The 11,182-nt window shown below is 46.4% G+C and overlaps 1 annotated feature.

Moving 5' to 3' along the window:
- Positions 8,705-9,204: an enhancer, noted in NCBI's record as "H3K27ac hESC enhancer chr8:30122695-30123194 (GRCh37/hg19 assembly coordinates)". NCBI's record gives its function as "activates a minimal SCP1, AML or CMV promoter by ChIP-STARR-seq in naive H9 embryonic stem cells {active_cell/tissue: H9 hESC(naive)}" and the evidence as "EXISTENCE:reporter gene assay evidence [ECO:0000049][PMID:30033119]".

Genomic DNA, 11,182 nt, shown 5'->3' on the forward strand with positions numbered 1-11,182 from the left:
TCCAGCTATTTGCAAATGGTATATTTAGGAAATCTTGACATTTTCTACGTTAAAAAAAATGAACCTCCATCAGAAAGGGCAGATTTTTTTTTGACTATTTCTAAAAACACAGATTTAAAGTGGTAATTTAACATCCATATAAAATATAGAAAGAAGAGAAGTGTATTTCAAATCATTTCTTGCCTTTTAAAAAAAAATTTGAGACAGGGTCTTGTTCTGTTGCCCAGGCTGGAGTGCAGTGGTATAATCTCAGCTCACTGCAGCATTGACCTCCCAACCTCAGGACATCTTCCCACCTCAGCCTCCTAAGTAACTGGGACTACAGGCACACGCTACCATGCCTGACTAATTTTTGTATTTTTCCTAGAGACAGGGTTTCACCATGTTGCCCAGGCTGGTCTTGAACTCCTGGGCTCAAGCGATCCATCTACTTTGGCCTCCCAAAGTGCTAGGATTTCAGGCATGAGCTGCTGCACCCAGCTAAACTATTTCTCGTTAATTCAGTGTTACAGAAACTACAGGCAATACTATAAAGTCCATGCCACGTGTGCTAATTCACAAGTGGACAGCATCATTCCCTTAGTTTCCCCAGCTGCTGTTTAAAGTAAAGCTGGTAAGGGCTATCTACAGTCTTCCAGTCACCAGGGCTGTTTGTGGCTGGCAGGAGACTCCAGGAGCCAGTCCTGGTTCCAGATTTTACTGGCCCTCTTCCAGATGGTCTGCAGCTCACATGGACTTTGTTCCTGGGAAACCTGTAGGTAGGTAGACAAGCCAGCTAATACAGGCAGGCCTGAATGGGAGCAAATTCAGAAAGGCTGGGCCAGAGCTCCAGGAAGCTAGCACAGATTTCAGATTAGTTCCAGACCATACCTGAACCCCCAAGAAATGTTCTGATGTTTCAGTTTCTGGCAACAGTCAGTAGGCCTGTAGGAGAAGGGCAGATACTTTTCATATTAATAGCTGACATGCAACACAGTTTAAAAGAGCCTCTGCCTGCTTCATCTCAACTGAGCAAGTACGGCAGGTACAGTTGACCCTAAGTTAGGGAGGAGCAAACTAGGACTTTATGAAGGCCACACCAGAGCCAGATGGCTAAAATATGGCTAGAACCCAGGTCTCAAAATTAAATATTCAAGCAGGCACACAGGGCTTTGCTAGGGCCCAATCCACCGGCCTACGCGGCCAGATGATCCCTGGAACCACCTGATCAGCCAGACCTTTCAGCCTGTCGCTGGCTCTGTAAACTCCATGCCTGGGTCCGCCCCTTACCTCACTCCCAGCTGCAGTGAAAGGCTCATCACTGTATACCAGCAACACCTGATGAGGTGAACGGTGGCAGAACCCAGTATAAAGATTTATAATGTTAAGATCAGGCATGGTGGTTCACGCCTGTAATCCCAGCGCTTTGGGAGGCCGAGGTGGGCGGATCACCTGAGGTCAGGAGTTTGAGACCAGCCTGGCCAACATGGTAAAACCCTATCGCTACTAAAAACACAAAAATTAGCTGGGCATGGTGGCACACACCTGTCATCCCAGCTACTTGGGAGGCTGAGGCACGAGAATCACTTGAAGGCGAAGGCTGCAGTGAGCCAAGATTGTACAACTGCACACCTGCCTGGGCTAGAAAGCGAGACCATCTCAAAAACAAAACGAAACAAACAAAAACAAGATTTATAATATTAAATAATAAGACACTTGCTAAATGCAAAGTGTAGATTCCTGTCTGGCAGATCAGGAAGGCTTTGATCAGCTGCAAGGCTAGGAAGACCCGGTGGCTCTATCTTGATATACGCCCACATCCTTAGGGATGAGCTTCAATGACTCTTGGCCTCCCTGGCCTGTCTTTAAGGCAGTGATTCTCAATCAGGAGCAATTTTATCCTTAGGGGGACATTTGCCAATGTCTGGAGACATTTCTAGTTGTTAGAACTGGAAGAGGGGGTGCTATTGGCCTCTAGTGGGTAGAAGCCAGGGATGCTAATATATGTCCTACAGCGCACAGGATAGCCCCCTACAAATGTCAGGAGTGCCAAGGGTGAGAAACCTGCTTAAAGTAACAAGGCTGGGCTTAGGAAAAAAACCCTGCATTGGCCATCTCTCCCTGGCAGAGGAACTTGCTCAAGACTTCAGATCTAGTGAAGTCCAAGCCTGTGACCAGAAATCCCAATGAGGCTACTCCAAAGGTCCCACTCCTTTTTTTTTTTTCCTTTGAGATGAAGTCTCACTGTTGTTGCCCAGGCTGGAGTGCAGTGGCATAGTCTCGGCTCACTGCAACCTCTGCCTCCCGGGTTCAAGCGTTTCTCCTGCCTCGGCCTCCCGAGTAGCTGGGATTACAGACGCCCACCATAGCGCCCAGCTAATTTGCTAATTTTTTGTATTTTCAGGAGAGACGGGGTTTCACCATGTTGGCCAGGCTGGTCTTGAACTCCTGACCTCAGGCAATCTGGCCGCCTTGGCCTCCCAGAGTGCTGGGATTACAGGTGTGAGCCACTGCACCTGGCCAGGTCCCACTCCTTCTAAGGCAACATCCTTGGCAATGTCCTTCTCCCATCCTCTCAATTTCTTCTCATGTAAAATGGGCATCCTGATACCTACCAATTAGTATGACTATAAACATTAAGTGTGATAAGGTGATATGGTTTGGCTGTGTCCTTACCCAAATCTCATCTTGAATTCCCATGTGTTGTGGAAGGGACCTGGTGGGAGGTAATGAATCATGGGGGCAGGTCTTTCCCGTGCTGTTCTAATGAAAGCAAATAAGTCTCATGAGATCCGATGGTATTACAAGGGGGAGTTTCCCTGCCCATTATCTTTGCTGCTGCCATCCACATAAGATGTGACTTGCTCCTCCTTGCCTTCCGCCATGATTGTGAGGCCTCTCCAGCCATGTGGAACTGTAAGTCATTAAACCTCTTTCTTTTGTAAATTGCCCAGTCTTGGGTATGTCTTTATCAGCAGCATGAAAACAGACTAATACATAAGGCATGTGAGAATGCTTTGTGAACTGATTAACTACTGAACTAATATCAGTGATTATGACAAATATCAAGGCCATGGGTAACTGAGTAGCATGGAGGGGGCAGTACCGGAGCTTGTAAACTCTGCAGAGGGTTGGAGTGTCAGCTCAACCCAGCTAACATACAGGCGTAGGATGCTGGAGATGGAAAGAAGAAAGTTGTGATCTTCATCTACAAGGTGAGGGGGATGGGGTGGTTCTCAAACCTTCTATAGCCAAATGCTAAGAGCATGGCTCTAGAAGCAAGTTGCCTCTGTTCACATCCTGTTTCTGCCAGGTACTATTTGCGTGACCCTGGGCGAGGTGTATAACCTCCCTGTGCCTCCTTTCCTCATCTGTAAATGAGGATCGTAGCGTTATCCACCTCACAGAGTTGCTTTCAGGTAACAGTGCCTGGCACATAGGAAGTGCAAAATAAATGTCAGCTATTAGTATTGCTCTTGTTAAGAGCCCATGCTTCCCACAGTGCTTTCAGACTCTATCTTCAGCATACCCCGCCTCCCATGAACATTTGTATCAAAATCTACTATTTTTTTTGAGGCAAAGTCTCACTCTGTTACCCAGGCTGGAGTACAGCAGCGCCATCTCGGCTCTCTACAACCTCCACCTGCCGAGTTCAAGCAATTCTCCTGCCTCAGCCTCCCAAGTAGCTGGGATTACAGGTATGCACCACCATGCCTGGCTAATTTTTGTATTTTTAGTAGAGATGGGGTTTTACCATGTTGGCCAAGCTGGTCTCAAACTCCTGGCCTCCAGTGATCCGCCTGCCTCAGCCTCCCAAAGTACTGGGATTACAGATGTGAGCCACTGCGCTCAGCCAAAATCTACTTTTTGTAGTATATGCTGCAGATTCCCTGACGCTGGGGTCAGGACCATTTTTGTTATCATTGCCTATCCACTGCCTAACATGAGGTGCTCAGAAGATTTGGTGAATTTATAAATGAAAGGAGAAATAAGCCCCCTGCTCCCCAGAATTACACCATCCAACCAAGGCCTGTCAATAAGTATTTCCAAAGTAACACCTGCAGTGAATAAAACATTGACGTTTATTGATTCAATGAGTATTTACCAATCATCTACTATAGGCCAGGCATTGTTACAGGTGCAGGAGATAAATTAATGAGTCAAATAGATAAGTCTGCCTACCTCACATTCTAGTGAGGAAAAACAGCAAATAGCTAGAAGTCCTATCAGGTGCTGACATGTACCAGGTGGAGGAATGTGTCAGGGCAAGAGGGGTGGAGAGTGGTGGGGGTAATTTTTCATGTAGGATGTCTGGGAAGGACTCTCTGACACAGTGATATTTGAGCAGGGACCAGAAGGGAATGAGGAAGGGAAATATTCAGATATCTTAGAGAAAGGAATTGTGGGCTGAGAGATCAGCAAAGCCAAAGCCTTGGGAAGGGAACAGACTTGGCATTTTCCTACAGAGGAAGCCAACATGGCTAGGGAGAAGAGAAAATAGAAAAGGAAGTAGAGAAAGGTGGATTCACTGCAAAGTTTTAGGACACGTCACTTGCACGGTGCCCTCCAAGCCCTGAGAGAGCCCTAGCAATGCACTCCTGTGGTCATATATTTTGCAAACTTTGCAGAAATAAGATATTTCAACTGCAAATGATTGGGACTGCTGTCTCCTTCCACTACCACTTCCCCTCTGTTGCACATCCCCTGAGTTGGATGGTGTTGGACATTTGGCATTTGACATTTTCTGGATCCAACTAAGAGGAAGTTGAGTTGGGGAGTGATGGTTAATTTTAGGTGTCAACCTAGCTAAATTAAGGAATACCTTAATAACTGGTAAAGCAGTTGATATGGTCTGACTCTGTGTTTCCACCCAAATCTCATCTTATAGCTCCCATAATTCCCACGTGTTGTGGGAGGGAGGCAGTGGGCGATGATTGAATAATGGGGGCAGGTCTTTCCTGCGCTCTTCTCGTGATAGTGAATGGGTCTCATGAGATCTGATGGTTTTGAAGATGGGAGTTTCTCTGCACAGGCTCTCTCTTTGCCTGCTGCCATCCACAGAAGATGTGACTTGCTCCTCCTTGCCTTCCACCATGATTGTGAGGCCTCCCCAGACACGTGGAACTGTAAGTCATTAAACCTCTTTCTTTTGTAAATTGCCCAGTCTTGGGTATGTCTTTATCAGTGGCATGAAAACAGACTAATACTCCATTATTTGGGTGTGTGTCTTTGAGGGTGTTTCCAGAGGAGTTTGGCGTGTGAGCCTGAGTGGACTCAGTGGGGAAGATCCACCCTCAATGTGGGCAGACGCCATCCAATTGGCTAGAGGCCTGGATAGAACAAAAACAAAGGAAGGGCAAATTGGTTGCTCTCTTTCCTGGAGCTGGGATACACCCCCTTGCTCCTGCCCTTGGACCTCAGGCTTTCTGGCTTCAGGACTTACACCAGTGGCCCCTTGGGTTCTGAGGTCTTTGGACTTGCACTGAGCCATGCTACCAGCATCCCAAGGTCTCCAGCTTGCAGATACCTGTCATGGGACTTCTCAGCCTCTATAATCATGTCAGCAAATTCCCCTAATAAATCCCCCTTATTTACCTACGTTGCATATCTGCCCTATTGGTTCTGTCCCTCTGGAGAACCCTGATGAATACAGGGAGACTTTTCGTCTGTTCTATTTTCTGATTGTAATAAATATTCAATTTCATACATTATTTTGGATGGTACCTCTTAAAAAGCTCTCCATTTTATAAGCTTTGGGCTCCACAAAACCTGGATCTGATGCTGAAGGTAGAAATAAAGACAGATGAAGACAAGGAGGTGGCTGGGGCTTCTCCTCTGAGTAGGACAGGGAGCAGTAGAGTGTTTTGGGCAGAGAGGTGACATGACACACTTTAAAGGATTGCTCTGGCTGGGTGTGGTGGTTCATGCCTGCAATTTTAGCACTTTGAAAGGCCAAGGAAGGATTGCTTGAGGCCAGGAGTTCGAGGCCAACCTGGGCAACATAGCAAGATCCCTTCTCTAGAAAAGTTAAAATTAAATAGAAGATCACTCTCTCTGCCCTGTTAAGGCTGCATCATCTTTGTGAGGGGGTCGTGGCACACCAGGATGCGGTGACATAGAGAATACAGACGTCTGCATTTGAGTTGAGTCACAGGAGTTTTTTTAGAGGGTGTAAACAGCTTCATTTCTGGATGGAAAGAAAGTTGCCACAGGCATGGGACAGGTAAACAGAGTGAGGGGTGATGAGGGATGTGAGCTGGAGAGGTCAGCTGGCCCATGTCATGGTAGACAGGTGCTGCTTCCAATACATCTATTGTTTTCATGGGCCTTATTGGCTTTTTGTGTGTGTGTGTTTGTGTGTGTGTGTGTGTGTGTGTGTGTGAAACAGTCTCCGTCTTTCCCCCAGGCTTTGTGTGTGTGTGTGTGTGTGTGTGTGTGTGTGTGTGTGTGTGAAACAGAGTCTCCGTCTTTCCCCCAGGCTTTGTGTGTGTGTGTGTGTGTGTGTGTGTGTGTGAAACAGAGTCTCCGTCTTTCCCCCAGGCTGGAGTGCAGTGGTACGATCTTGGCTCACTGCAACCTCTGCCTCCTGGGTTCAAGTGATTCTCCTGCCTCAGCCTCCCGAGTAGCTGGGATTACAGGCACATCCCACCACACCCACCTAATTTTTATATTTTTAGTATAGATGAGGTTTCACCATGTTGGCCAGGCTGGTCTCAAGCTCCTGACCTCAGGTGATCCACCAGCCTCGCCTCCCAAAGTGCTGGGATTACAGGCATGAGCCACTGTGCCCGGCCCCTTATTGGCTTTTAATAGACAGATACCATATTGAAGCAGGGAGGTAATGACTTCCACCCGCATCTCCTTACACTATCTTACTTGGCCCCCACAGACTCTAGGAATACAGCCGTTTTCTTAGTTCTTGGTCACAAGAGAGGGATACTGAGGGCATCTGGATGACACCAATGCAGCATATTGGTGCCGTGGGAAACTAGACCTCCTTGCACCCAAAACTATGTCTCCAGACACAGGGTATTGTGCATCTAGTCCCTCTTCCTCTCAGGCACACATATCAGGAGCAAAGAGCAGGTAACAGATCTCCCTGTTACCCCAAAGGCAGATGAGCTTATTCTTGGGGGATGCACTCTCTGTCCCAGCATTTCCCATCATTGTCTCCTACTTGTGGCATCTCAGTTCTTCATGTAAATAGATCCTGGATGATCCTGGGTGATCTCACATTGTGGCTCTGTAGCCATGCCTGGACACGTCAGAATTCCCAGTGGATTCCCTGGTGAGGCTCTCACTTTGGAATCCTTATGATTCTAGTAGGTCTGTACTCTATATGGGGAATTATGAACATTCACAGAAGTGTTTGTATATATAGATGATATGCCACATCTCATTGAGCTAAAGTTATAAAAACACGTTTTTGAGGGCTGGGTGTGGTGGCTCATACCCGTAATCCCAGCACTTAGGGAGGCCTAGGCGGGTGGATCACCCGAGGTCAGGAGTTTGAGACCAGCCTGGCCAACATGATGAAACCACGTCTCTACTAAAAAATACAAAAATTAGCTGAGTGTGGCGGTGCACACCTGTAACCCCAGCTACTTGGGAGGCTGAGGCAGGAGAATTGCTTGAACCCAGGAGGTGGAGGTTGCAGTGAGCCAAGATTGCACCACTGTACTCCAGCCTCAGTGACAGAATGAGACTCTTTCTCAAACAAAACAAAACAAAACAAAACAAAACAAAACAAAACAAAACAAAACACATTTTTGAGTCTCTGTTAGAGTTTCTGTTCAAGCCCATGTTCACACAATTGGCTTGAGGGAAAGAACCACATTCTTATACAGAACAACATTCTTGGTAGACACAACAGGGTGACTGTAGTCAGTAATAACTTAATTGTACATTTTAAAATAACTAACAGTGCAATTGGATTGTTTGTAACACAAAGGATAAAAGCTTGAGGGGATGGATACCTCATTCTGTCTCATGTGATTATTTCACATTGTGTGCTGTATCAAAACATCTCATGTACCCCATAAATGTATACACCTACTACGTACCCACAGAAATGTAAGAAAATGTTTAAAAAACATTCTTGGTAGAGAAGTTCTACCTTAGTGTAGACTTGAAGAGCTCATTTCTATGTTATTTCTGTTACTCTTATTTTAGATTAATTGGGGCAAAAAAAGGAATTTTCCATTGGGGTTTTGGCCCTCCACTTGGAAGTCCATTGTCTGACAATAATTCCTTTCTCTTCCTCCTATTGTTTGTGGTTTTTTCTACTATATTTCAACACACTCAAATATTCAGTATCCAGAATTCATGTGTGTAAAGAGCTTTGTGGTTTATAAAACACTTCTTACATATAGCAATTAATGTAAATGTTACAATAACTTTGTGTGGAAGGCATTGTCCCTATTTAATAGTGATATAGCTTCATGTCTGTCCCCTTCAAATCTCATGTTGAAATGTGATCCCCAGTGTTGGAGGTGGGGCCTGGTGGGAGGTGTTGGGATCATGGGGGCAGATCCCTCATGAATGTCTTGGGGCTGTCCTTGCAGTAATGAGTAAGTGCTCACTCTATCAGTTCACGTGAGAGCTGGTTGCTTAAAAGATCCTGGCACCAGGCCGGGTGCAGTGGCTCATGCCTGTAATCCCAGCACTTTGAGAGGCTGAGGTGGGCGGATCACCTGAGGGTCAGGAGTTTGAGACCAGCCTGGCCAACATGGTGAAACCCCATCTCTACTAAAAATACAAAATTAGCCGGGTGTGGTGGCGCATGCCTGTGATCCCGGCTACTTGGCAGGCTGAGACAAGAGAATTGCTTGAACCCGGGAGGTGGAGGTTTCAGTGAGCTGAGATCACACCATTGCACTCCAGCCTGGGCAACAAGAGCGAAACTCCGTCTCAAGGAAAAAAAAAGAGCTTGGCACCTTTTCCTTCCTCTCTTGCTCCCTGTGCTTGCTCCCCCTTCACCTTTCACCATGAGTACAAGCACCTGAGGCCCTCACCAGACGCACATGCTGGCACCATGCTTATACAGCCCGCAGAACCATGAGCCAAATAAACCTCTTTTCTTCATGCATTAACCTCAGTTATTCCCCTTTATAGCAATGCAAAATGGACTAACACAAATAGATGACATATTTGAGGGTCAGAGAGTTTGCACACTTTTCCAAGGGCACACACACAGTAAATGGCAGAAGTGGGACTTGAACCCTACCTTTATAAGCCAGGCCCAGTGCTCCAATATGGGACCATTGGCAACTCAGTAAACTTTTGTGTGAGAGTGTTCAGTTGGAAGGTTAATTCTTGTTTGCCATAGAAAGAGAGAACAAGACTGACAGTGGAAGTCATTGTCACTATTGCCATCAAATATAATATTATCAGCAGCCCAAGAATGTCCACTTTTTAACAGAGCTAGGCTATTTTTTCAAAACCAGAATTTCTGTTTTGGATGAAGAAGCACAATAGTAAAAAAATCAGAGGCTGGGTGTGGTGGCTCAAGCCTGTAATCCCAGCACTTTGGGAGGCTGAGACGGGCAGATCGTTTGAGGTCAGGAGTTCAAGACTAGCTGGGCCAACATGGTGAAACCCTGCTGCTACTAAAAATACCAAAAAAAAAAAAAAAAAAAAAAATGAGCTGGGCATGGTGGCGTGCACCTGTAATCCCAGCTACTTGGGAGGCTGAGGCACGAGAATCGTTTGAACCTAGGAGGCGGAGGTTGCAGTGAGCTGAGATCGTGCCACTGCACTCCATCCTGGGTGACAGAGTGAGACCCTGTCTCAAATAAATAAATAAATAAATAAAATCAGGCAGGGCGAGGTGGCTCACACCTGTAATCCTAGTACTTTGGGAGGCCAAAGTGGGTGGATCGCTTGAGCCCAGGAGTTCGAGGCCAGCCTGGATACCCCGTTTCTACAAAAAATTAAAAAATTAGCCAGATGTGGTGGCACATGTCTGTGGTCTCTGCTACTCAGAAGGCTGAGGTGGAAGAATTGCCTGAATCCTGCGAGGTCGAGGCTGCAGTGAGCTGTGATTGTGCCACTGGGTTCCAGCCTGGGGAGCAGAGTGAGACCGTGTTTCCCCCCAAATCAAATTTTAGCCAGTTTTTATCAAGAAAAATAGATCTTCCTATTGGCTTATCAAAGTTCTTTAGAGACAAGTAATACAGGTGAACCTGGGCTCACATAAACAGAAAGGAAGGAATAAAATCAGATCCTCTCAAGGAAACAAGGGGCAGTAATGCGGATAGAAATGGGTAGGATTTTTTTTTCTCTCTAGCTCTTGTCTTTGCTTTTCTCTGAAGCATGTGCTTCATTCTTCTCTCTTTCTCAATTCAGACACACTTTCTCTGCTTCTCTGGCCACTCCAGTGTTTCCAGAGGTTGAGGCACCAGCCTGGACAAACTGAGCAGCTTCCTGGTCCCAATTCTCAATTTCCCAGGGGAGAGGACCTGAGGCCACCTTGGAGCAGGTGTTCGCCTCTGGTCCAGTCAGCAATAGGCAAGAGCAGAGGGTATCCTGTAATATCAGCATGGCTGCCAGGGCCCTACCCCAGTGCACCTGGTGGCAGTTCCCAGAGAATGAGGAATTGTGAGTTTTGCCCACACCTGAAAAAGTGTTGACCATAACTGAGCAGCGGGAAAATTGTTATAAAGTTTGGAATTAGCCAGTAGGCAATAGTTTTGTTAGGGCATAATTTTCACAACTGCTTTTCAAGAGTTCAGAAACTCTTAAATATAAACTTTAGTATCATGTGTCTGCTTGTATGTTTAAATCCGGGAACATCTTTACAGACCACCTAATCCAACCCTCCTTTATTTAAACCAGTGATGAAACTGGGACTTGGTGGGCAAAGTGACATGCCCAAGGTCACACAGCAAATTAGCTGAAAAGATGAACGGATGAAATTGTTTCTTTCTCTCTCTCTCTCTCTTTTCTTCTGAGATAGCATCTCACTCTGTTGTGCAGGCTGAGTGCAGTGATATGATTTTGGCTCACAGCAGCCTCAACCTTCCAGGCTCAAGCTATCCTTCTGCTTTAGCCTCCCAAGTTGCTGGGACTACAGGCACATGCCACCACACCCAGCTAATTTTAAAAAATGTTTTGTGAGCTGGGCGTGGTGGCTCACACCTGCAATCCCAGCATTTTGGGAGGCCAAGGCGGGTGGATCACCTGAGGTCAGGAATTCGAGATC

The sequence above is a fragment of the Homo sapiens genome, chromosome 8, assembly GCF_000001405.40.
Source record: "Homo sapiens chromosome 8, GRCh38.p14 Primary Assembly".
NCBI classification, from domain to species: domain Eukaryota; kingdom Metazoa; phylum Chordata; class Mammalia; order Primates; family Hominidae; genus Homo; species Homo sapiens.